Here is a 27,851-nt window from a genome sequence, read left to right as displayed (position 1 = left end):
TTTTGAAAATAAGGCAGAAGAGAAGAATTTTTAGACAAAGTTACCTAACTTTGTGATACTAAACTTTGCTTAATTGCTGAGTGTCAGAACACTGAGCTGTCTCTGCTCCCTTGTCCATCCTTCTCCCCAAACACCGCATTGTTGAGTTTGCTGACCAGAACTGGGGATTGTAACTGTGGCTGTGTATCACATCTTCACTGCATGAAACTCATTGATGTCTGATTCTGTTATATACTCATTAGTACAATGCCCTGGCCAGCTAGGAAGAAACCTGTCATAGATCAGCTGAAATATTGCAGTAGCAATTCAGCCTTATTATGGGTCAAGTATTTTATACAATAATTTGGAATCTAATCCAACTTATTTAAAGTGTTGTTTTATGGGATCATAGCTCAAAATCATCTCTTCCTGGCCAAGTTGTAATTGGGCATCTGGTGAGAAAAGACTTGGGCTAGGGCCAGGCATGTATTCCCCAACTACTGTTTGATGTTACCATTAATACTGACCCTTTGCTACAGGAACTCCATTAAGTAGGAGAGATTTGGAAATTGGAAATTTGAAAACTATTATATTTCAACTCTTTTGTCTAGAAGAAACTCTTAGATGTTAGGGTAATATACATCTGATCCTACTTGGTTAGTAAATAATCTCTTCATGTAGCATAGCTGAAATGAAGTCTTTTTCTCTATATCAGATTTTTTCGAAATGTGGATACAAGGTACTTCTGTGCATCCGGAAATAGCAATTAGTTCTTCTAGGAACATGACATTATTCATAGAACATTGTTTACTTACTGTTCTGTTTGCCCTTGCAGATGACCTTTCTGCATGTACCATCCTTGAGGTGACCCTTGTTTTCCTCTCAGTGTGTCACTTGGTCCCTGACTTATGGGGTTATATATTCCAGAGGAATCTTAGCTGTCTGCTATTTTCTGTAAATACTCTTTTTTTTCTTCAGTGTTTATTCTGCTACATAATCGGTCTTCAGTTTCTTAAATTTATGGTTTTTTTTTTTTAATTTTTGATGTCTAATCCAGATTTGCAGTCCTGCTTGGGTTTTCAATGTTTTTGTTTCTGTGCCTTCAATTCTCACCCCAGGGTCAAGTTTTATTGCTAGATGTCATTACAAGTTTATCTCACATTTTTTGCCATCTTTCTTGATATTGTTTTCTTTAAAGTCAGTAAACAATTCCATTTGTTTTTCATCCTTTTATTTTCTAAATGATCTCCAGTATTTGGATTGAACCATGTTGTATCTAGAGATAGAGTAAATCATTTTTCGGTATCTTGTTTATGATGAGATTATGTAAAATTGCTTAATGTCATGTCTAATATGTTATTTAGTTAAGTAGATATGGCTATAGAATCTATCTGTTAGAAACAGTTTTGCAGCTATAACTCGGTCATAGGCATTTAAATGTATGCCTTAAATTGGATTTTTGTATATCATAAATAAGCTTTTTTTCTGTTGAAGCTCAAATTTTTTTTAACCCACTGGAAATTGGTAGAAAATAAATTAGGCTTTGCTTCTACCTATATTCTTATGAGTAGATAGTGGACAATGAAGGCAGTTTCCACGTTGAAAACTGTACAAAAATTTGAAAATGTAAAGTCCACAGTAATATAAATGTATTACATATGACAAATTCCCTTTAATTCCATTAAATATGACAAAAAACAAGACATGTCCTATGTATCAGCCATGATTTGTTAGCTAACGGAACGGTAGTAATGTTCTAATTTCTGTCTTAGCGTGCAAAAATGCAAACAGAAAACCTTTTTCTGTGACTTTAAACTCTTTAACCATCTTTTATATGCATCTAAATACAGTGAGTAGATTACATTGTAGTATCAATAATCTCTTAGCTCCAAATACTTTTTAGAGATCTCATTTTTAAAAACCACATTGTTTTAAGACCACATTGTCACATTGTCTTAATATCTTTGTTCATCTTCCCATTTGTGAAAGATAGTAAAACCGAAGTAACAATTTGAGGATTTTTAATAGCTTCATGTACTCTGTGTTCTTGTTTTAAATATTTCACAAATACCTATCCTAGGAGTTGTTCCACTTAACAAACTTAATTTTTTCCAGCTTTTATAAAAATGTAATCTCTAGTGTTTCTGCAATTTCCTGGTTATTTTACTTTTTTTACTAACCAAAAAAAGTGTTCTATATAGAACCAAATTCAGTCTTAACTTCAGTATTACTAACAAATTTTAAAACCATAGCCATCTTTAATCTCCCAGTACCCCACTGTAGGAAGAATTTGACTTTGGAATATTGTCTCATTTTTCAAAGGAGCCTGAGAAGTAGTTTTGGAAAATACCTTTTTCTTGGGTGAACTCTAGATGTAACCACTGAAAATATCTGAAATGAAACATTCTATCAGCAAGTGGCATAAACATCGAAAATGCTGCCTTGTCACACATAACAGTTCTAACAAGGGCTCCTTATGTCATGGGAATCCTACTACCTCTGTTTCTCTTCATATGAGAGCAAGCAGCAGCACTGAATTTGTAAGACTATTTGGTTGTGGTTTCCTAGAAGGATTTGTATAAATGTCAGGGGTTATTTAATGCTGAAAGTCCTGTTAAATCCATTAAGAATTGTATGTACATTCAATTCCCCAAAGAAATGATTCATTCAACAAACATTTATTGCAACCTCTTACTTGTTAGGCACTGGGCTCAGTAATGTGGAGAATACAAAGTTAGGAAAGATGTGGTTCTTGCCTGACCTTTTAGTAAGAGGTTACTTGTGTTATATGCCATAAGCCAGATACAAACTAACAGCTACAACAGTCCAAGGGCACAGGTAGGGACTGGGATTATATTCAGCAGTGGTGGTTGAAGATGGAGTCATGGCAGAGACACTGTTTGAGGTGTTCTTTGAAGAAGGAATAGGAAGGTATTCCAGGCAGAGGGGATAACCTGAGCAAAGATAGAGGGGGAAAACTGTGATATGTTTGGGGAGTTGAATGTTAAGTCAGAATGGCTGAAGCATGAGAAATGACACCATCAGCTTGTGCAAAAAAAATGACAGAAAAAAAGAGACTGGCAAGAGGAAGTACCTCTTAGAAAGTTGTTGAAGTATTGAAGGTATGAAATATTAAGGTTTTGATTTAGATGGTGGTGGTGGGAAGGGAAAACTAGCGATGGAATTGAGATGCAGATGAAGCCAACATGGTTAAGTAGAAAGCAGTGGATATTTCCCTCCAGCCTACTGACCTTGTGCTCATCTTAACATCAGATTTCTTTGAAGTTGCAGTGAAAGTCTGCCATACTTTTTGTTTTGTTTTGCATTAGATGCTATCTTGTCCACCAACATATCTTTTGTGCCTAGTACACGTTAGGGCTTGGAAAAATATTTGTTGAATGAAACATGAGATTGTTGAAACACTTTGAAAGAGGGAGAATAAATATGGGCTCAACTGAGAGGTACACAGAGATCTCTTCATCTGCAGCTGTACTTTCACTCCCAGTTCAGTTTTTACTCAAATATAGATGAAAATTGTATACACCCATGTGCCAACTTTCCTCACTCAACCACATTTTAACCTAGATTTGATGGCCTGCAAATTGCTGATATTTGCAAATTTAATTCCATCCCTTAGCATTATAGAAATGATATTTGGCTAAATGCTGTTGGATATTCTCCAACTGTTACATTTTCAGTGCTTTTACGTTATATACGGATTTTTTTAAAAAATTACTTAGTGGCCATTGTTAAGTGTTATTTTTAAGATAATTAGTGTGATTATGTAGTAATGGTCTAGCATTTTTTGTCTTAAAATGTTTGAAGTTGAATTTTACAGCAGATGGGTAGCTTGCAAATCAAGGTATTCTTGGAAGCATAATGAGTGCTAATAAGGTGATTCTAATCAAGTACAAGCTCATAATCTTCAAAAAGGGATTTTGTGGAAAAAGGTGACTGCCTAGTTCAAAAATATATATATTTAAAGTTTAATAAAGAACTCTTGTTCTAAATACACAATGACATTTTGAAAGTCCAAAAAGTTTGAACATAGAAAGACAAAGAAATATAATAATAGAGAGGGTCCATGAATTGACACTTTTTAAAAAACCCACAATAACTGTAATTTAGTCCAAGCAATATGCTTTTAAAAGAAATAGGAAAAATAATAGGAAAGTAATTTCAATATCGAAGTTTAAGAAAGGATCTCTAGGCTTATGTACTATATCTTGGAGTTTGTACAGTCAGCCCAGTCTCTTAGACTTTCTCCATGTTCATCTCCATTCCTGGATAATGATTGCTGGTTTTCTGTACAGGCGATCCTGAGGTCTTGGTGCAATCCTCAATAACCAAGATATGATTCAGGTTTGGACAATTGACTCTGCTTTCAAAAACAGGGAAGGTGTCTGGAACATTTGAGAAAAGTGTTTCAACAACAACAACAACAAAACCTTAAAATGATTTTTAAATATTTAGCAGCATTCAGCTGGTGTCAACATTTGGCAATGATTTCCATAATTGTGACTAGCATATTTTAATAGGCAACTGACAGATAAAACAGAACCAAGACTGTCTCCCCCTTTTTCCCAATTCTTGAGGCCTCACTTTAGTGGCATGTGACATTTACTTCATCTTTGAAATGATAAAACATTTAAATATGTTTCACTTATTTCTCCCCAAATTTTCCTATTGTCCCACTAAAGAAATACCTTTAAAAAGTGACATTGCTTCCAAGTCAGAGATTTAAAAAAAAAAAAACAGAAGGAAAGAAGGAAGGAGGAAAGGAGGGAGAGAGGGAGTGGGTGAAGAAAGAAAGAAGTTAAGAGACACCCATTGAGAAAGGCTTTTCATTCTGAAATACTTCAGCTCCAATAATAATGTATTTGTAACAAAAACATAAGGAAAGTGTAATGAATAGAGTAACATACTCATGAAAAGAGGGTAATATAGAAGAGTGGGATTCCTCCACCCCCAAGAGAGAATTGTTTGTGCCATTTTTATCGCATATTTTTCATTATAAACTCCTCTGCTTTCGTTGAAGCAAAAATGAATAGCTGTGATTAATTATGGCCCAGAGAAGTCTCATTCTCCCCATGGAACTTGCTCTTCCTCATTTTCAACAGCACCACTAAACATGCACCACTAGTTACCTTTGATCTCCCCACTGTTCACAACCTCCAAGCAGGCGTCAAGTCCTAGGTCCCCCACCAGCACAACTACTCATGCCTCTAGTTATGGGAGAGAGAAGATTTGTAAACTCCTTGTGGGCAGTTTCCATGGCATAATCTTCATTTCTTCCATAGTATCTAGCACAGTTTTTACTTTTATGCAGGAGAGGTATTAAACAGTATGCCTTCTTTTATCAGGCTACAGGAGCAAATGCAATTCAGTACATTTTCCTATTTAGTGTTGCCAGAAAACTCACAGCTACCTTTTGGGCCCAGCTGCAGCAATTAACCTTAGTCTAGAATTTTGAAGTTTTTGATACAATTATCTCCATTGTTCCACCTTTCCCATTATATCAGTCTTTACAGTTACTGTAATAATCTTACTTCAAAAATATCTTTCTTGAAGGTCATTTTGAAGCCTTTTGGGAAGAATGTAATTGTCTAAGTAGTAAGAGAGCAAGTCAACAAGAGAAGGGGCTAATTCCATTTCTGCATTTATTATTTGCAGCTTATAAGGCTATCTGAGTGATTTTCATTTGGACATGTTAATGTATTCCAGGCATTCCAGTATGGTTAACTGGGGGCCTCAGTTTAAAATGGGCTTCCAGTGATACTCAGAAGTAAACCAGATGCAGCTGGGGCTACTCGTAAAACAGAAAGGAATAAATAACAAATACTTGAAACTCCTTAGACGTTTACTTTTTTTCATTAGGAAAAAAGGAGAAAGGGTTGTATGAGATGTGTTTTTTCCTTACTTCCTCGCTGCAGGGTGCAACTGATGAACTTGTATTCAGTGCTTATTTTGAGGTTTAGTAATCTATTGATACTTCGGCTTTTGATCATCTGTGCTGAAATGCTGTGGTCAGCATTAAATTGTTTGCCTAATCGATCTGGAAAGTATTTTCCTCCTTTTAGCTTGTCTTTTTCTAGGTATGTTTTTTTTAGGGGTGAGGAGAAGGGGTAATGTTCTCAAATGATTGGGATTTCTGTAGTGAGTAAAGGTGTGAGTTTATTGGAGAGCTGAGGGGCAGTTTTTAAAGAATCCTTTATTCGTTCAAATTTGGGTACACAGAAAACATTTAGAAAACACTCTGGAAATGTTTATACAGCAAATGTAAGCAACATACAATACAGAGCTCTCATATACATACTTACCATCATAACTAATAGCCCTACTTTGTAAACAGAAAATGAATGTGTTTCCTAGGAGTAGTAGAATAGATTTTGAGAAGGCCAATCCTTCTTCATGACCTAGACCGGCCTTCTTTTACGTGGCTGCTAACATCATTACTGATGTCAGAGATGTAGAATTAAGGTGTCCAAATTTCTTTAGTATGACCTTTTGGAAACTGAATTATCAGTACCATAATAAAATGCATAGCAAATAACTAAATCCATTGTCGGATAGGACAATATTCCCTTAGAGCAGGGGTTCTCAAAAATGTGGCAGACTAGCAACATCAACTTCACCTGGACACATTTAGAAATGTAAATTATCACCTCACCCACACCTACTGAATCAGAAACTCTGTGGGGAGGCCTGGCACTTTGTGTTTCAAGAAACTCTCCCGGTAATTCTGGCAAACACTGAAGTTTGGGAACCATTAGTTTAGAGAAAACCATAATTGGTTTAGCAGGGTGTCAATTAAGGATGATGTTTCAAAGCTTCATAATTCTCAGGATTCTGTGTTGTTCCTCTAATGCCTCCTCCTTCCTCACCACTTGTTCAAACGGCCCTTTCTTGATATATATTCAGATCTGTTGGAAGGGAAATGATGTCTATTCTGGAAGACTTAATGTTTCTTTGGGAGACCTATTATATTTTCCCTCCAAGGAGCATCACAATGCTTTTTAGCTGAGAAAAGGCTCTGAGAGGTATTGCATGAAAGACAGTTTAGTTCTGTTAACTGCGTGTTAGTGTAGTTTAGTTCTGTTGAACCCAAGAATTTCTGTAAATCCTTTGATCACAGAACCCTATCTTTGTGGAGCATAGAGAAACTTATGGAATGCTACATAACAGGTGACTGGGCAAGAATCATGCTGGTGTCTAAATGTGTGGAACCCAAAAGAAATGAAGTTATTTTAATTATTTGACTATTATAACCCTTTGAAAGGATTAGTGACTTTTTTGTACCCTGAAAGGCGTATTGTAGGTGTTGCTAGCTGCCACACATGGACCTTCAAATTTTCATATGTAGCAACTGTGAGAACAAAAGGGTGTGTATATGTACACACACACACACACACACACACACACATAGTATATTCAGACATTTCACATTTATATGAGTCAATCTTCACTTCCATAAGGTTAGCCTATTAAAATGAAAAATAAGAAAAATGAAAAATTAGCTCAAACATTTATAAACAGTTTTCTAATGAGATTCAATTTTATTATTTTACCAATTTATTTAAATGATATTTAAAATCACTTCGCTACAATTTTTTTTTAATATTTTAAGCACCATTAACATCTTTTATAGTCTCTTATTTGGCTTTGTCTTTCTAACTTACCAGGAAAAAATGACTTGCCTGCTTTCTTGTTATCATTTTAATATATGTTATAAGTAAAATATAACAGTACCCATGGCAAAATTAGAATAAAAATAGTACCAACTAGAGTGTGATGCTCCATGCTTTTTTATATAATACAAATGACTTTGAATGTTTCATTCATTATGATTTTAAAGTGGATGTTCGTTATGCTAAATCTTAAAGAAGCTTGTGATGGTAAAAGAGTGTCTCTTGACTAGGTAAACTAGTCTCCTAAGTGGGCACTGGCTTATTACCACTTGAAAAGAAGCAATAATTATTTTCTCCTTTTAGTTATTTACGAGGATGAGATTAAAGCTTGGATATGCTTCCTTTATCCTCTGCCTTTTCGCCTAGAATACTACTAAGTTGTGGGAACAGCGACTGTTTGACAATAATATCCAGTTCTAATAAGAGAAGTGTCCTCAGTTTCCTAACATTATACGTATATAAATTCTCTCCCTAGGCACATAGTAATTTATATTACTCATATAATTGGTAATTACTCTATGATAATATATTACCTCTTTTAGGGAAGTAGAATGATTTAAAGTAGTTATAATCTGTCAAAGTTATTATACTTAATTCTCGGGAAATATTTTAGTTCTGTTGTAAAGAACTAATAAAGAAAAATATATTTTTTACATTTTGTACTGATTTTACTTGCAAAACAGACTAAATTTTACTTTGTTCCTTTTTTCTTTCAAAGCACCTAGAAAGTATGTAGGGGCAGGAATTATTTCTAGAGAAGTTAACACGATTGGAGAATAATTTACCGATGATCTAAAACTAAATAGAATTAAGGGCACTTGAATCTCAGCTTAGCACTCTTTCTAATAAAATACTGTGTTCCTATTGAAACTTAAATTCATTTCTTCTTGGGAACAAATACATTAGAGGACAGAGTATGAACAGCCTGTGACCTGCTTCCGAAACAGTTGATTCATATAACAGTGTTGTTGTTATTATTTTCCCTATTATATTGTCTTTAGAACTATTAGTATACTTTTGGATTCTGCATCTTCAGTTGTCTAGTCACTTTTTATTTTTTCTGAGACAGGGTCTCACTCTGTTGTCCAGGCTGGAGTGCACTGGCAAGATCATGGTGAGAGACAGGACTAGCTGGATTTCCTAGGCCGACGAGTAATCCCTAAGCCTAGCTGGGAAAGTGACCGCATCCACCTTTAAACACGGGGCTTGCAACTTAGCTCACACCCGATCAATCAGGTAGTAAAGAGAGCTCACTAAAATGCTAATTAGGCAAAAACAGGAGGTTAAAAAAAATAGCCAATCATCTATCGCCTGAGAGCACAGAGGGAGGGACAATGATGGGGATATAAACCCAGGCATTCCAGCTGGCAATGGCAACCCCCTTTGGGTCCCCTCCCATTTTATGGGAGCTCTGTTTTCACTCTATTAAATCTTGCTACTGCACACTCTTCTGGTCCATGTTTGTTACGGCCTGAGCTGAGCTTTCACTCGCCATCCACCACTGCTGTTTGCCGCCGTCGCAGACCCGCCGCTGACTTCCACCCCTCCAGATCCGGCAGGGTGTCTGCTGCGCTCCTGATCCAGCGAGGCACCCATTGCCGCTCCCGATCGGGCTAAAGGCTTGCCATTGTTCCTGCATGGCTAGTGCCCGGATTCGTCCTAATCGAGCTGAACACTAGTTGCTGGGTTCCACGGTTCTCTTCTGTGACCCATGGCTTCTGTTAGAACTGTAAGACTCACTGCATGGCCCAAGATTCCATTCCTTGGAATCCATGAGGCCAAGAACCCCAGGTCAGAGAACAAGAGGCTTGCCACCATCTTGGAAGTGGCCGGCCACCATCTTAGGAGCTCTAAGAACAAGGACCCCCAGTAACAATGGCTCACTGCAGCCTCAGCCTCCCGGGCTCAGGTGATCTTCTCATTTTAAAAAGCTGGGGAGAAACCTAATGATAAATCACAGAATAGAATTGTTGTGTTTATTTTATTGGCATGTTTACATGATGCAGCCACATATTAATTTGTATTTGAAACCCTTTAGTTTTATTTTGTGAATAATGTTTGCTTAACCAAAAATAAATTGCCAATAAAGAAAAGAAAAGAAAGAAACATGACTTGTACATTTGAAGCACTGAAAAAGTCAAACCCTAGTGCCTAGGGCCGCAGATCTTCACCTCCACTTTGCAGTATCTCAAAATATATCTACTTTACGGTCATTTAACTAAAACCTCCTCTGAAACTGAGCTTTCGGTGGGGTAGTCTTTTGTGAAATGGTGTGTGCAGTTCATGTGCGTTCTCATTTGCCTTTGTCCTTAGGGGAATGAAATGCTTCAGAAGAACACTTTGTACCATTTTGTGTTAAGGTTGATCTTTTCTCATCATTTGGAGACTTTCTCTGCTTTGTGATAGTGTCGAACCTACAGCACTCAACTTGTCATCTGAGTAAACTTGCTTCTGAATGGCACTATGGTGTTTTTAAAAGATTCTTCTCTTAGGGAGGTGATGATAGTCATGAAGTTCACAGACCACCTCTTTTGTTGAGTCCTACTTCTATCGGTTCTCAATCTCCATGGGATACTGCTGGACTGTTACTTTTGTCAAGTCATGGCCGTTTATGCTTAAGCCCTCATGACCCAACTCCTGATAATTGGACATTGCTTCTCCCAAACCAACTAGCGAAATGCTACTGTGCAAACATTTACTAAAAAGCTGTGTTAACAGATAACATGTTTATGCTAATTGTTCTGCTTCAGGAATTATGGAAGGCTATTTCTAACATTTGGTTACCTAGGGCCAGGTACAGTGGCCCTCACCTATAATCCCTAGCACTTTGGGAGGCTGAGGCAGGTGGATCGCTTGAGCCCAGGAGTTCTAGACCATCCTGTGCAACACGGGGAAACCCCATCGTTACAAAAAATACAAAAATTAGCTGGGCATGGTGGTGTGCACCTGTAGTCCCAGCTACTCGGGACGCTGAGGTGGGAGGATTACCTCAGCCTGGGGAAGTTGAGGTTACAATGAGCTGTGATGGTGCCACTGCACTCCAGCCTGGGCAACAGAGTGAGACTCTATCTTAAAAAACAAAACAAAACCAAACAAACAAACAAAAACAAACACATTCAATTGCCTTGACACATTCAATTGCCTTGTCTTATTCATTCTCAAGCCATCCAAAATCCCTGGGTTTTGAACAAAATAAATTTGCCATAAAATTGTGCTAGTAACTAGTGTCTGGACATACCTAACAGCCAGTTGATATGCAGTCTTTGTTATAATCTTAGAGGGAAAGTGTGGCCCAGACAGTATAAATATTTGAACCAGCTCATTCCTCTATTTAGAACTATCACAGTATTATGAAGCACAGTATCTTGATTGAGTATGAGCTCTGGACACAGAGCACGTAGGTTCAAATCCCAGCTCTGCTACTTATTAGTTATGTCAGCTTGGGCATGCGTCTTCACTTCTCAGTGCCCCCGTTTCCTCAATTGTGAAGATTAAATGAGTTAATGCATATAAAGCACTTTGAACAATGCCTGGCACGTGGTAAATCCACAACAAAGTTAGCCATTAATATTAAGGTGGACATGGTGTGAAAAAATGGAAACCAGTTTACAGTATTCTAAAAAATCTCTCAAATTAGTTTTGTTTCTATGACTAGTTTTGTTTTTAAAATTAGTTTATGTTTTATGACTACTTTCATGATATTAATAGAAAATATAATTTTACAGGGGCCTCAACCTGGTGTCTAAATGTGTATCAACAATTGTCTCATGCCAAGTAACATGAGCTAAAGCTGTATATACAATATCTGCAGCTTATTCATAAGTGATCTGAATTAGTTAACATGAAAAGGATCATTTGACCTTATATGCAAGAGTCTAGTATACCAAGTCAATGCAATACATGAAACAATGTAAAACCAAATTAATAGTCTAGTTATCTTTAGTAGAAAAATGAGTGTAAAAGATTAGCACACTGATGTTTTACACTACCTAGTTTCTTTCGCTCTATCCACTTTGTCAAAATCTTTGAGAATGGAATTTGATTTACCTTATATAACAGACATAAACTGACTTATTTTTTTTTCAGAAAGATGTTTTCTGAAGTTTTCTAATTTTATCTTGATTTTGAGGGAAAGCACAATGGAGCTAGAGTAGATTTATTTTATTTATTTTTCTTCACCAAAATAAGGATTCCGCTAATTAAAAGGCACTGACTAGAATATCACCATGGCCTGAATGACCCCAGAAATCTTTTCGTGCTTAATAGAAAGGATGCACATTTTTAATGAACACTACATCCTTAGACATGTACTGCTCTTCTAATAAGTCTTGTTCCAGCTGTTTAAATTGACTAAGGGAGTACAGTTCATAGATTTTGAAGCTAACTAATTAACTCTCTGTTCTTTGCTTTATTTTTTTCTTGTTTTGGGTGTGGAGATATGCATCCTTTGGCAGTGGTCATATTTCAACTTCTTCTCTGTAAGGCCATGAGACATTTATGGTTGAGGCATTGATTTATTTTAAAGCAAAAAGCCTCCCTTTATCACTATTTTCTTTAACCCCATTTCTAGTTACATTGTTTGTGGAGGGCCTTGTTTAGTTCTTTAAATATTGGGAACAGTTTCATCATCATTAAATATTAACTGCTCACTGGAAGCAGAAGCTGAGCTTAATTAAGGTTGCAGTATTTACTAAATTAGACTGGGAGAGGAACATTTTAAGACACACACATATATGAAAGAGAGAGAGAGAGAAAGAAAAATAAATATTTTACAGTAATCTCAGCAGTTTCATTAGAGCTTTGTCAATTGTGTTCGCATATCTGAAACATTTCATCCCAAAATGAAAGTTACATTTTGGATGAAACTTAACATACTTGGTAGATATTCAGGCCAGGCAGAATAGATCTTTATTTTTAGAAGAGAAAGCATTTGTATCAATACCTTGTTTTCATGTCTGTAGAACAAAAACAAACAGTAAGTTGGCCTAATTTTCAGATGCTTTTTAAAAGAATCACTTGGCTAAAAATGCCACTTAAATACACGATACATTTAGAGTTTGGAATTTTCCCTGGGCATATGCCTGATACTCTAAATTACATACAATTATATTTTATTTGTAATTGATAATTATTATGGGAACATAACAGTTGTGCATATTTGTGGGATACATGTGATATTTTGATACAGGCATACAATGTGTAATGATCAAATCAGGGTAATTGGGATATCTATCACCTCAAACCTTTATCATTTCTTCGTGTTAGGAACATTCCAATCCTACTCTTTTAGTTATTTTAAAATATACAATAAATTGTTATTAACTATAGTCACCCTATTGTGCTACTGAATACTAGACCTTATTCCTTCTACGTAATTGTATTTTGTACCCATTAACCATCCCCTCTTTATAAACCCCTTCTCACTACCCTTTCTAGCCTCTGGCAATGATCATTCCACTCTCTATCTCCATGAGTTGAGTGGGTTTTTTGTTTTGTTTTGTTTTGTTTTGTTTTGTTTTAGCTCTCGCATATTAGTGAGAAACGTGCAGTATTGATCTTTCTGTGCCTGGCGTATTTCACTTAACATAATGTTCTCCACTTCCAATCATGCTGTTGCAAATGACAGAATTTTGTTCTTCTTTATGGTTGAATAATATTCAATTGTGTATATGTACCACATGTTCTTTATCCATTCTTCCATTGATGGAAACTTAAATTGATTCCATATCTCGGCCATTGTGAATAATGCTGTAATAAACACAGGGGTGCATCTCTTTGAAATACTGTTTTCCTTTAGGATAGATACCCAGCAGTGGGATTGCTGGATCATATCATAGTTCTATTTTTAGTTTTTTGGAGAACCTCCATACTGTTTTTTTTTTATATATATAGTGGCTGTGCTAATTTACATTCTTACCAACAGTTGCCTACTTTCCTACAATTTTAATAACAAGTTAGCACAAAGGTTTCAATAGAACTTTTGGTGATGAAATGTATATTTTCCCTAACAAAATATAAACTTAGTCCATGCCTCAAAAGTATTTTAATGGCAGTCCATGTCACCAAGTAAAAACTTTCTGCATGGAAATTCCATTTTTGGTGTTAGGTTGGTAGTAGGGTAGGAGTGTGAGGAAAATGCTTATTCTGAAGTGGAGACATTTGACCTCATTGGGGGATTGAAACATAATTTCACACTGATTAATTCACCCTGTAAACAATCATTTTGGTACAATGTTTTACATTTCTTTATCTGAAAGAAGATTCATGTTTAACAAAAGAGGAACTGATTTTCATCTTTGTACCGCTAATTTCAAAATGCAGAGGTAAATCAATAGCCATATCTACCCTTTATATAAAGTTTGAGTGGAGAGATATGTGGCTGGTTATAAAGACATAATTATTTAATTTATTCTGAGCAGCACACTGAGCCCTGCAAAGATAAATTGTTTAAATCTGAACAATAATCAGTGCCTTTCTCACCTTATACTCTTCATATACATTTGTAAGATATTTTTGCAAATTAAATTCTTCTTTGAAACTTTTCATTTTACTTAGAGACAGGAAATTTAATTTTACCAAGTGGAAACCCCAAGGTTTAAGGTTAGTGCAAAACTAAAACCATTTGGAATTGAGGAGATTGCCCAATACCTTCTGACTTCCCAGGTTTCAGTACAGCGAAAACTCACTTGAGACCCTTAAGTCATGGAAAGCCTAAAATAATTAGCATGGTTTCAAGGGGCAGAAGTCACAATGTAGGAAAGCCAGTTAGGCAGAGAAGGCTTGACGTTCTTATTTCAGAAGTTCCTTGACTAAAGCCTTCAAATGAAAGAAGAAAGCCACGGCAACCATTTGGAAAGATCTGACGAAACTTACAGCTTTGAAAAGGGGTGTTGGGAAGGTGATTGTGGGATGTTACTTTGCAATCATAGGAAAATATCCATCTTGTTAGCTTTTGGGAGATCAGGGATGGGCAAAAATGGCATTTCAACAGAAGAGCCATTTTTGGGGAGTTCACTCTATTTTTCTATTTAAGAGAAATCAAAATGAAAATACTAAGGAAAACTTGACCTGTAAAACACCATACAACTTGGTTGAAGCTTTAGTTTCTTTACCTATAGAATGAGGAAGTTGGATTAGATCAGTATTTTCCTAAGGGTGTACTAAAGAGAGATGTTAACGGGAATATGATGAAAAAAGGGGGGATGGTTTGTGAGTTAAACAATGTTGGGAAATGCTGGGTTAACAAAGGTAACCAGGTTTCTTTACTTTAGGACATGTGAGAGCCTTTATCATACTCTTGTGTATTGTCAGCCTACAAGAGAGGAATATAAAGTGACATTTCTTATACCCGATTGACCAGTGAACCCAGCTTTTGAGGTTCCTCTCTTGGGATTAGTTGTCTGTGGTACACACTCTGGCAAATGCTGGACTAAATGATCTCTAAGAGCCTTTCCAGCTTTACTATTTGATCTTTCTATGATATGCCCATAAACATATAAACTTCCCCAGAGCAGTACAATTTTACTATTTCTGACCTTACTAATTCTTAATCTTTGATCATTCCAATGAAAGAGTCTGCATTCTTAATGAAAAAATAAATTTAGGACTGTGTCTAGCAATTGCTTAAATGTTCACAATTGTAATGTGAGGCTATTGTGGATTGCCATTTTTCTCGAATATATTATTTGGTTCATTAGAATTAGCCATACCTCTCTACTTTGTGCTCTCTTTTAATGTGAGTAATCAGGGATTGACTGAAAAAGATATCTATGCAAATAATGGCTATTCATCTGCATGCTGTGAATCTGTACCTTTATAGCGCTTATGTGTGCATATAGAAACATGTGCTAAGTAGTTATTTCCCTGCACTTTAATGATTGACTTTTACTCGAATTTGAGTATTCCAAAGACAGGGCTGAAGGAAAAAAAGAAAAGATTAACCACCCCTCACCTCTGCACACATAAATAAAAACCTTAAAAAACTTAAAAGCCTCATCTTTATGTAACACCTCATATACTCAAAAATCTGTTCTGTAAATTCGGAGTTACGGGTTTAGGCAGGTATTGGTCACACACCATCCCCCTCTTCATCCTAGCCTAAAGGGGGAGCTCCAGCAGACATCGAGGGTATTTAAATATACTGTTGCGCCACCGGTGGGTGGGAAGGTGGAGTGGCTGCCAGGGTAGCGAGCCGTGTGAAGCTTTTGGTGGGAGGAGCTATGGATCAAAAATTGCTGTCTCCAACAGTCAACTTCCTTAAATTTCCTTGCAGCTGATCAGGTAAGCTGGGGCTGAGAGTGTCTTCTACTTTACTCTGGGCAAATGAAGGCCTGGGAGAGCCTGGGCTGATTCCATGGAGAGGGCTTCTAAGAATCTTAAGGTAAAGAGGTAAAATGGGTTTTCAAGGATTTGCCTTTATTGAGCTCAACTTATCAAGGCAGAAGAACAGAGCGGGAGAGGGCTGCCAGATAACATATTGTATGGGGCATACTTATACTAAAAAATTTTTTTTCACTGTTTATCTGAAATTCAAATTTACCTGGGAGTCCTGCATATTTATTTGATAAACCTGGCATCTCTAGAGAGGATCCTAAGCAGAAGCCCTAGCTGGGGAATAAAGGGGGCAAGCAGCTGGTACCCTCTTTGTCCTGGCTTCTAAATCGTTGTGGCAAGTGAGTGGATGGGGTGTCCAGAAAAAGGAGGTAAAGAAGCCTAGGAGCAGGAGATTTGACTAATGGGTCAGAGAGAAACACCTCCTTATGTTCTTTCTTAATGAAGTCCATGTAGAAGGAGCTTTTTGAAGTTATATGATTTTCTGTGTGTTTTATTTCTTAGAGTAACAAATTCAGTACCATTACTTTTTCTCTCCCTTTTTTTCCATTCTTGATGACATTTTATGTTGGCAGCTATCAGCTGCTCTAAAGACAGCGTCTAGTAATACTTTGCATGAGGAATGCCTTCTGACTTTTGATAACTTGGTACCAATGTGCTTCGTTGTGTTTGGGTTTTAATTTTATTCTGGTTGGCTGGTTTGTAAATAGATGATGCATTTTTGAAGAGCTTATAATTGACCAGTCATTCAGTTAATATTTTTCTACAGTGATGTACGGTATTCGATGAGAACCGAGGTAAAAAGTGTGTAAGTGGGGTGGAATAGGGCAGGAAGTAGATTTGGGTTATTAGTGAGGCAGGCTTGCTTTCACTGTGAACAACTTCTGGGATTTTTAGTGTTATTTGCTGTTCAAAAAATTTCTAAGAAAAAGATCAAGCTCATGATCATTTGAAAATAAATGTTTAACGTAAACAAAGCTAAGCGTGGGTCATGAAGGAAAGCCGCAAACATTTTTCTTGTAAGAAGGCATATGCATTAGAGAGCCACAAGAAGGCCCCACCTGCTGTGATTTTCCTAAAGCCACCTTTGTCTTAGTAGCTTCAGGGAATTTGACTTGCGGCTTGTTCAGAGAAATTCAGGATGGGGGGTGGGGCAGTTGGAGAACGCAGTTTTTTTCTAAACTGACCCTGGAAATGCAGGGCCCTCCTGGGCAGGCCCAGGTGCTGATTAGATATGGATCTGCTGCTGGCTCCTTTATTCGTCCGGTGGGGCCCTATATCCTGAGGGCCTTTGTGGCCAGAGACCCCTTGGAATCAGACCAGAGTTTCTGTCTCTGGGTCTCATGGATTCATGTCACTTCTGGTTAAGTTATACTAAATTACCAGGATGTTTCAGCCGTAATGGTCACATATTCCTCAGGGTCTATATTCATAGGAAAAAAAAAAGTTAGGAACTAGCTATTTTCTGGACCTGAATAGAATAACGGTTCATTTGGAACAGACAACCAGGGGCAGCCTCAGTCATGTGTTGACTATTGTTCTCTTCTTGGAGGGAGAAGAAAGAACTTATGAAAGAAAATAGCAAGAGAAGCACTTAGGTTTCTAAGGTAGACTTAGTGTTATGCCCTATAAAATTATTCTCACAAACTTCAACAAACGTGTATGGCAGGGCGGCTATTCATCAGGCACACACACATCCCTGGAGATTGAAAGTGGAGGAAGATGTAGTTCTGCCGTTATACAGGCTCAAAGTCTAATAGAGGAGACAAGCATGCAAACAATTTATCGATGTACACAGCGATAAGAGCTACGATAAAACTGAGTACAAGGTGCAGTTGGAAGCACAAAGGAGGGAGAGATAAATGGGGACAGGAATGGGGAGACGGTTCCAGGAAAATCTTTACAGAGGAAAAGTGATTTGAACTGAGAATCCATATTGGGTAGTGAAAGTCTGGAAACTTGGCTTGTGTGCTTACTGAGCTGCTTATGAATTAGGACAAGTCACCCCACCCCTTTGGCCTTCACATTCTCTGTAAGATAAAGGTGCACAAGATGTTCCCTACAATCCGATTCAGCCCTAAACTGTTTCCATCCTGGGAATCAAGTTATCTTAGTGGGCTATTTCAGAACAAAAGTGTGATTGTTGAGCCCAGTACTCCCTTTGTCATTGGGAGATCAAAATGTAAAAGTTCTCTGGAGACAGATAGGCAAGAAAATTCTTCTGCTCTCACCCCAGCTTCTCGCCTATTCAAACTTGTTATCTGGTTTGCGCCAAAGTCATTGCCCTGTGTATGTGTGTATGGGATGTGTCAAGAAAACAGAGTTGGGACAGCATGAAGAAGGTGGGTACAGTGCTGGCTGCAATGGTGGGGGGTACTTGGCTGGCCCTCTCCATGGGGGTCAACGTTCAGCCTCATTAATTTTGCCTTCATTATATTTAAGAAATGGTTTATTAAAGACTTTTCCCTCTAAATTTCTTGCCTGCATCTCACATTTAACTTAAAAGTTGTATGCAGAATTTTAAGGCTGCTCTTTGTGCATCTATATCAATATTTATAGATGATACAATATTTGGAGGAGAAAATGATGCAGATTATCCATTTTTGTAAAGACAGAATTCTAAGAGGAAGAAAGTGGGAAATTTGCCAGTAGAATGCCGATATCTGGCTAATAACTCGTTGTATGTTGATCTTGACTCAGGTTTTTCCTAGCTTTAATAAATCTGTGATGCTTGCAGGAACTAGCCAAACTGGTACATATGATTTGTAATTCTGAAATCACTGTTACTTCCTCTGAGAAGCCATGTCTGTGCATGTAAGTATGTTACAGTGGGGCACTATCATCAGAATTATTTCATTTAATCCATTATGATTAAAATGGAATAACAACATTTTTCTTCATAGAACAAATCATCTCTTGGGTGCCTTGATTTAACATTTAACTTTTAACTGTTGGCAGTCTAGCAGATCAGTGAGATTATGTATTTGAAAAGTAATCCAGTTATAATTGTATTTGAGAGAACATATTTAGGATTTTTTTTTTCTCTCTAACTCTGTATGTATTTGAAGAAGCAAGTCATTCTGCAAACAGCTGTTTCTCTTAAGATACTGTGGCTGACAAAGGGTAATTTGCAGCCTCCCAGGTTCCTTTTCTTATTCTGATGTATGGTAGGGCTTTTTCTCATGAACATGAAGTACATTTCACAGGGTTTTTCTACCACCCAGTGCATGGGAAGTCTTGTGACAGACTCTGACTCTCATAACTCTCTAGACATAGGTGGGATTTGAATCTCTACAATGAGACTTTTCTCTCTTAGTTAAAGGCTTTGTATTCATTTGGGAGAAGCCTGAAGGTAGGAAGAAGGCAATAGATTGAATTTGGGAGGCTTTATAAATGTTCTGCAATGTATCCCTTTGTCTGTCATCAACTTCTTGATGCAGATGTACTTCAGAAATGTCATCGGCTATTTTCTCCCCCTGCTTGCTGCTTTTTGAGTGCATTTTTCAAAGACAGTCGATGGGAAAGGGGAGCTGGAAGATTCATATGATTCATAGGTGTAGTAGCACTTATTTCAGCAGAGAATCGCTTTCCTATTGAATCACTTTGCTATTTTCTTAACTCAGTAACACAGTGAAAGACCAGATGAGAATGACATGTTTTTTAAGTCCAAAAGGAAATGGAAAAGGAGGGAAATTGAGGCAAGCATAAATGAGCTTGCACTCTAATCGCTTCAACGTTTCTTTAATTTTGAGTGTATATGGGAGGGGGAGAGAGAGAGAGTTGATTTTCATGTCTTGACTCCCCTTAGCTGCTGATTTTAGTACGTAGCCTGCTCTGCCAGAGGATGGCGACTGTTGTAGGTACGTTTACAGAGTCGTTTAAGGCATGCTCTGATACTTTGCACTAGTGTGAGCCAACTCTGAACCTGTGGGTCTAGATTGGAAGAAGGAGGGCTTGGGACACCATTGACTTGGCTAGGGAAACATGAAGGGTGATTTTTCAGAGCCAAGATGGCTGCTGGGCTATCACACCAAACTGTTATAGACCCAATGTGATAGGGTACCTTGTGGCCCACTCAGAGTGCTTAGGTGGCCTACAGAAATCATTGGAACCTTCCTAGTACAGAGTCATTGATTTTCCAAAGGACAAAAACAATAGATGATTACCTACTCCACTGGGACAGTCCCTCCCTAATCCCCACTCTATCCCAACCTTACATGCTTTACCAAAGCCTTAATTCTATACAAGGATTAAAAAACAAGTGTTAACAGATGTAAAAAAAACAAGTTTGTTCTCTCCCAAACACCAATTAAAGTATTTTGGCCTATAATTACGTTTGGGCCTCTTGAAGAATGAACGCTATGTAGAGGAGATTTATTATCACCAAGTGTTGTGTGTACAAATATATTATCCTGAGTTCTAAAGTCGTTTTGAAAAAACAGGGGCATAGTTTTCTTTTGAAATGTTGTATTGCACGGATAATATAGATGTTAAATTACTTGGTCTCCTCATCTATTGTTTGGATAGAGAATACAGATTTTTATTTTATTTTATAAGCTTTCTGGAACATAAGCAGCAGTCTCTGGTAAGATGGTGTTGCTATGCATTTGCATTGTTATAGAATTAAATTATGGATTCGGTCATTCAAAATAGAAGCTTTATAAATCAAGTAAAATCTCATAACTAAGATGAATAAGTTTCTTTAAGTCTCATGCTGCCTCATATTCCATACTTTAGTTTTATAGCCCAACTTGATATAATTTTTTAAAGTGTAATTCTCTTTTTTTCTATTTCTGTGTACTGTTTTTGCTCTGCTAAACTGTCATTATTTCCCAAGAAAAAGCTTAAGATAAGTTACTTTATGTAAAGGATAGTGATATAAAAGCACAAAGGCATGTTCACTTCTTTATCTGTATATTGGCAGGAAATGTGCCAAATACAGTGTGTTCTCTCCCTCCCTTTCTTCTTCTCTCTCTGATTACATTCAATGTAGATGATATTAAAACTCAATTGTAACAAATGGTGAAATTCCAATTATTCTTTTTTCTTTTTTTAACTTATCTAATGTCTGGAATTCCTGAATATGAAAGACAGTCTTCATTATATAGTTGTTTTGGAGTTAAAAATTGTGTTCCACGCTTGTGTATGCTAATTGTCTAAACAAGCTATCTAGGTGGCTCTGCAATCCTTAAGCAATGCTGCTGAGCTGCATAATTTATTTTCCCCACTACTGCTGTCTAACTACCCCAAAGCATAGGAATTAGAGTGGTGGCCCTAACTGGGAGTATGCAGTAAGATGAAAAATAGTCAAATGAGAAGGAAGGTCAGTAATAAGTTATTTAGACCTGGTTAGGCAGCAGGGTCTCCAAATGCAGCTGCAATTGGTAAAAAAAAAAAAAAAAAAAAAAAAAAAAAAAAAAAAAAAAAAAAAAAAAAAAAGACTGAAATTCAGAAGAGAGGTCAGGGGTAGAGATAGAGATTTAAGATCCGAGCAATTGTACAAATAGATGGAACTTTGAAACAACTTAGTCTCTCCAGGGAAAAGAGATTAGAGAGGAGAGCAAGAGGATTTAGAACAGGGCCTTGGGGAAATCTTTAATGTTAGGGTGTGGGAGGAGGAAGAGAAACCCTGAAGTAGAAGTATAAACTAGCATGCTTGGCTGTGGAAGTCACCAAGTGCCACTCCCTCCATCAGCTGTTAATTCTGAGCCAGATCACCTCAGTTATGTAGATGGAGAGTGGAGAATCTAGGAACTGAAGATCCTTGTGACTTTCTGCCTTGCTTCACATTGGTGGGTGTAAAAAGAAGCTTATGGTCTCTCTTAGGGGTACATTTATGGGGAAAAGACCCCAATTATTGTGATTTAGCACACACAGGGGTCTGCTTACACTCATTATATATGTTGAAATTGCGTAGCTATTCCTAGGCTACTTTTAAGAATTTAGGAGGATTAGGTTAACGTGATTCTTAACTCATACTACCAATAAATTATTCTTTCTCCAAGGTTTGCATAGAAATATAAAAGTACATAAAACTAAGATAGTATTTGATTTTGTAAATCACTTTAATTTAATTAAATGTAAATTGAGCAATGGGAAAAACAAAAAGACAAACTCGACAGAAAACAATGATGTGTCTTTTAATTTCTCACACTGACTTTAAAGTTATACTCAGCTTCTTGCCAGAGGAGGTAAAACAATAGAGCCACCTTGCCCTAGTGATCTAATATTTAAAAAGAGCCGTTGCAATGCATCTGGGTTTGCATTATATGTAGCTCTAGAAAAGTTTTGAAGGACACATCTTGATTCTCAGTGAAATTATAGGAATATTTTAATAACAACATAACTAAACAATGGAGAAGCCATTGCATAAACTGTGTAGGCATCATAAATAAGGAAAATGCAGATAGCATGTGTTGAATGAAAACACTTGGTGAACAAACTCATTTTTCTCTCGGGAATTCAGGTGGCCTAGCAGCTTGCACTCTTTGGTCCAAAAACAAAGTTGCCCTTTTGCTCCCCACCTTCCCCTTCCCCAATAACCTCACCTACTGTAAAGAATCTTAGCATCTGTGGAAAATAGAATTGTTTGCAGTTGTGCTTTCTTAAAAGGTTTATGGTGGACCTAGTAATCCAAATAAGAGAGAATCGTTAGCTTCTTTATATACTGCTCATGAGTTCAACACAGTAATAGGTCACATTGTGACAATGTGACCAACAACTAGTCCAGTGACATCCTTTGCTGCTACATAGTAAACCATAATCAGCAGCCATGCCAACATTTAGGTGACACCAAAAGCATGTTTGATTCCACGGAACTGACATACTGTCCTGTCTTGAAAGTGCTTAACATCAATAAAAAACATTCAATTAGCTGAGGATCCAAAATACACTTTGGTTTCCATCATGCAAGTGATCTAGGGCCATTGTCTCCGGAACCTAAAGAACAAAATGGCTGCCGGGCATAGGGATTTATTATTTCATTAACAGACTGTCAGTGAATTTCAGGGTGTTTCTCGCCTTATATGGATTCAAGATGAAGAGTTTTGGAGCTTAGATTGTCCCCAGATAATGGAGTCCAAAATTTATCTATTTGTGTATAGTTTTAATTTAATATTTTCCCTATTCTTCATTGTCAGGGTCGGTGTACCCGAGAGAACTGCAAGTACCTTCACCCTCCTCCACACTTAAAAACGCAGCTGGAGATTAATGGGCGGAACAATCTGATTCAACAGAAGACTGCCGCAGCCATGTTCGCCCAGCAGATGCAGCTTATGCTCCAAAACGCTCAAATGTCATCACTTGTAAGTCGCAGCTATATTTTGAAAATTGCCGATAAAGATCAACAGTGGAATAACCTGGCAGGGACTTGGGGAAATTAGTTGCAACAGGATTTAGGACACAAACTAATATGTTCATTGACACTACAGAGCTGTGCACTTGAAGAGAGCAGTCAGGTGTGTTGCACTGAAAACCTGGCTGCATGAGTTCACTTTATAAAAGAATATGGATAAAGGAGCAGGGGCATTTTAAGATAAGGAGAGTTGATTATTATTACATGGAAACCTTTGAATTCTAGGACATTAATTCAAACAAATTTTCTTGTTCTTTGATGGGGGTTTTGTTGCTTTTTTTTTTTTTTTTTTTTTTTGGTGAGACAGAGTTTCACTCTTGTTGCCCAGGCTGGAGTGCAATGGTGCGATCTAGGCTCATTGCAACTTCTGCCTCCCGAGTTCAAGCAATTCTCCTGCCTCAGCCTCCCAAGTAGCTGGTATTACAGGTGCCCGCCATCACGCCCAGCTAATTTTTTTGTGTATTTTTAGTAGACATGGAGTTTCACCATGTCCAGGCTGGTCTCAAACGCCTGACTTCAGGTGATCCACCTGTCTCGGCCTCCCAAAGTGCTGGAATTACAGGCGTGAGCCCGGCCTGTTGTTGCTTTTAAATAAACGTTTTATTTTGAAATAATTTTAGATTTACAGAAAAGTTACAAAGGTATTAATAGTACAAAGAGTTCCTGTATTACCTTTCACCCAGTTCTCCCCACTGTTAACATCTTATATTACCCTGGTAGATTTGTCAAAAGCAAGAAACTGGAATCACACATCATTATTATTAACTAAACTCCAGACTTTATTCAGATTTCCCCAGGTTTTCTATTAATGTAATCTTTCTATTCCAGTGTCTGATTCAGGGTACCACAGTGCATTCATTTGAATTTTGCCTCCCCTCTCTTCTCTGCTCTGTGACCATTTCTCAGTTTTTCCCAATTTCCCATGATCTTGATAGTGGCTTTCCCTTAACTTAGCTACAGGGTTTCCCTATGCAGAAATTAGTAAGATTATGTCATTCTAGACTAATATCTACTATTTTCTGGACTTGCAAGTTTAAATGGATCCTTTATAAAGTAATTAAGCTATATCTGTTCATATTGTTCTATTGAAAATTCATCTTGCCCTATGCCTTAAAATATAAACTTTCATTTTGCTTTTACACCTCTTAGGGAGAATTGAAAACTGTCCCTTTTCTGCTGTAGTTCTTCAGGCCTCACATTTAGCTCAGTGGTGCCTCATTCTAATTCCAGCTGGCCTACTTCCTTTAAACTATTAACAGGATAAATTTGAAAATCCTGTTTTACCTTTATTTGTTACCCATTTAATCAGTGATACAATGAACATATTGAAAGTTGAAATATGTATATAGTATTTAGATGCAATGAAAATGGGGGAGGACAATCAGCTGTCAGTAAAGCCTATCTCATTATAAAGTTAATTCTCAGAATTCAAGGATATCTGTGTTGATATGGAACCCTTTAATGAGTACATCTTTATGGATAAATGCAAAAACAGATGGGAGAGGCAATGATGAATCACTAAAGGTTTGCACCATACTCTTTTTCCAGAATGTCTAGACAGATTTAAGTAAAATAAATAGATGTCATGTTCTGTACTATTAGTTTACCAAAAAGTTTTGCCTTGGAACTCAGATTAATTATGTTGGTAAATTAGTTCCTAGAAGGTGAACTCCTCAAAGCTCCTCTTTGACCCTCAGTAATTCTTTACATCGTTGAACTCCTTGCGCAAACGCTTTTTCTGGGCTTTCACATACTGACGTATCTCAGTCCCTCCCTACTTCTAAGGGCAGAGGGAAGATAAAGTCTTTTGGATACTGAAAATTGTTATGAACAAAACCACAGAGAAGTGATCGTGCTTGGTAAGTCCAGAAAATGTGAGTGGGTGGGGAATAAAGCAAGGCAGCTTCTATTTTTTCCCCCAGCTTTATTGAGGTATAATTAATAAATAAAATTGTGTATATTTTAAAGTGTACAGCGTGTGATGATTTGTTAGACGTATACATTGTGAAATGAGATGACATGGATGAACCTGGCAGGCATTATGTCAAGTGAAATAAGCCAGACAGAGAAAAAACAAATACTATATGATCTCACTCATATGTGGAACCTTGAAAAAACTGAATGCATAGAAACAGAGAGTAGAAGGGTAGTTGCCAGGGGATGTGGGTGGGAGGGGATGGGGGAAGATGTTGGTCAAAGGTATAGCAAGGGAGATTTTAACTCACAATTATTACTCTCAGCTTCTCATGGGATGTCTCAATTTCAAACTGAGCAAAGAATAGGAAGCAGATTTCATTATCAGACACCTGAGCCCAGTGGTTCCTACAGAGCTGGAGCATTTATCTTTTCAAAGGTCGAGGGATAGCTTCAGGGTACTAGTGAAATGCCTTGTTTCAGGGAATCAGAGAGCAAGAAGTGGGGTAAAGTAGGGGTACAGAGGGAAGCCGTTCTATTCAGCCTCTGCTAGAGTCTCTCCATTCCAAGTCTCAACCCTTCAAGTGTTATTGATCGTGCTGGCTCACACTGGAGAATAGGGAGTAGCTTTTTTGAGAATCCAGTAAGAAATCCATTGTGCTTTCCAGCCTCTTCACTTGTGCTTTCTAATTTGATTCTCTATGCTTTCTATGTTAGAATATGTTTCCCTATCTTTTCTTCAATGAGGGTAATTTCAGATTTCAGATGACGGAAGATGACTGCTATGATTCACAGGAGTACAATTTATTTTATAGAATGTTACAAGATACAAGGCATTACTTAGAAGACCCAAGGGAACAATTGGAAATTGCTTCTCTACCTTGTAGATTATTTAATGATAGCTGTTATGATGCGATGAGCCGATAAATGATTAATTCCTGCAGTTATTATGTGTACAAAAATCTAACTCCGAGATGGTTGATATGTTCCTCTTCTATGGTCTAAGGAAGCCACTTTGTAGACATGGTGTAATTGAGCTAGTGTGAGCAATTTTAAGTAACATTTACCAGTCTGATTTGGAAAAAAAATTTCTTTATTGTGGATCCTGATATTATTACAGAAGTAATATATGATTTTACTTAATTTCTCTGGTACCTACTCTCCCTCAAACAACTCTCTATCCCTTTTAATCACCCCTACCCAATAATCTGATTCTTGTCTCTAAGATAGTCATACTTTTGTTTAAGAAATTTCCAGTCCTGATATTTGTAAGGTTGCATATTAAGACCCATTTGTATGACTGGCTTGAACTTCATGTCTTTCCACAAAGAATACTTTGATCTGTTTCTAGGATACCAGAAGAGCACATCTGCCTTTGCAGAATTGAATATGGTTTGCTTATTATAAGCCCCTAGATAAAGGGAATGTCAACCTAAATGCGATGGTACCTAGAGAACAGATTCTGTTGAGTGTGACTGAACAATGAATAAAAGCCACACCTAGTCAATTTGGGTGGAATGCTTGCTGGAGCAGGCAAGTTTGTTCACTCTATTAAACAGGTCTGAATTGACATTTGCCAGTATAAAAGTCCATCTCTGAAAGCTTTTTTTTGGCTTTATTAAGGAAGTTCAGCAGGTGAAACAAAAGGTGTGACTCCCTAGTATTTTTCAATGCAGTTTAAGAGAGATTGTTCCTGATGTTCCCAGCAAAAAAGTATAAGTTGAAGTATCCCCTTGCCATAATCATGAGGCAAATACAACCACTGTAGAAGAATATTAGAAAGAGTAGGCACAGTGGATTACCCTGAAGCAAAGCTAATGTTTTAAAATTTTGGTTTTACAATTAGAAATTTTAGTTATGAGGAAAGATTCTCCCTACTGAATGTGGTGTATGTATTTATAAAGTGAATATGATATTACAGGCTGTTAAAATGTTTTATTTGGACATTTTGCATATCTACACCTGTCCATATCCAAACTAAAGGAAAACCTGGGAAATTCCCCTAGTTTCTCTCTTTGAATGTGGTGATTCACATGGAAACAGATCCTGACACACAGGTGAACTTGACTCAGTAGAGTGTATTCATTTGATTATTTATATAGAGATTGTTGATTCAGCACATTTGAGGTTGCATTGGGATGTGCCAAGTCCTCAGGTTCTGTTGTATGCTATTCATGGCTGGCATTCCTGTGGCTAAGTTACCGAGTTCCAAACCATGAAGGCCATAAACAAGTCTTCCTCTCTAGGTTTTCCTTTATCTCAAATTGAATCATCTGATAGCTGCCTGGATCCCTCTCCACCTTTTTACATCATTTTCATAATTCTGTTTACCAAATATATTTCTCATAAACAGGCTTATATGTTTATCTAACATTAATATAGTAAGGAACGAAGGTGATGTAATGCTTCAGAACCAAGAGAAAAAAAATAATAGAAAGTTCAAATAGGTACGAGGAAGGGAGATATACTAATTAATGAATATTATTTTTAGACTCATGTTTTTAATGTTGTTTTTTTCTCTTTTACTAAAGGGCTACAATGTATTATATTACTTGGGTTTATATTACTTATAAACTTAGGACTAG

The 27,851-nt window shown here is 37.1% G+C and overlaps 1 protein-coding gene and 1 long non-coding RNA gene across 32 annotated transcripts in view, besides 1 other annotated feature; one reads left to right on the top strand and one right to left on the bottom strand.

Moving 5' to 3' along the window:
• The window catches only part of RAP2C-AS1 (RAP2C antisense RNA 1), a 214,305-nt gene that overhangs the window by 3,282 nt on the left and 183,172 nt on the right, over window positions 1-27,851 (bottom strand). The window lies entirely within an intron of this gene.
• Window positions 1-27,851, top strand: part of MBNL3 (muscleblind like splicing regulator 3) — a 120,716-nt gene that overhangs the window by 60,506 nt on the left and 32,359 nt on the right. For 21 of the 31 annotated variants that reach the window (NM_001386918.1, NM_001386917.1, NM_001386915.1 and 18 more), the window contains one exon: window positions 23,138-23,302. The exons of 1 other annotated variant lie outside the window; for it this stretch is intronic. In NM_001386918.1, coding sequence (NP_001373847.1) covers window positions 23,249-23,302 — 54 coding nt within the window. In that variant the 5' untranslated portion in view covers window positions 23,138-23,248. Of the gene's footprint in view, window positions 1-15,921; window positions 16,048-18,149; window positions 18,813-21,693; window positions 21,791-23,137; window positions 23,303-27,851 lie in introns of those variants that run through there. 9 more of the 31 variants (NM_001386912.1, NM_001386913.1, NM_001386907.1 and 6 more) reach the window with 5 other exon arrangements.
• Window positions 17,018-17,726: an enhancer, noted in NCBI's record as "OCT4-NANOG-H3K27ac hESC enhancer chrX:131545832-131546540 (GRCh37/hg19 assembly coordinates)". NCBI's record gives its function as "activates a minimal SCP1, AML or CMV promoter by ChIP-STARR-seq in primed H9 embryonic stem cells {active_cell/tissue: H9 hESC(primed)}" and the evidence as "EXISTENCE:reporter gene assay evidence [ECO:0000049][PMID:30033119]".

The sequence above is a fragment of the Homo sapiens genome, chromosome X, assembly GCF_000001405.40.
Source record: "Homo sapiens chromosome X, GRCh38.p14 Primary Assembly".
NCBI classification, from domain to species: domain Eukaryota; kingdom Metazoa; phylum Chordata; class Mammalia; order Primates; family Hominidae; genus Homo; species Homo sapiens.
The sequence above is the reverse complement of the archived record's forward strand: the minus strand, read 5'-3'. Positions and strand labels throughout refer to the sequence as shown.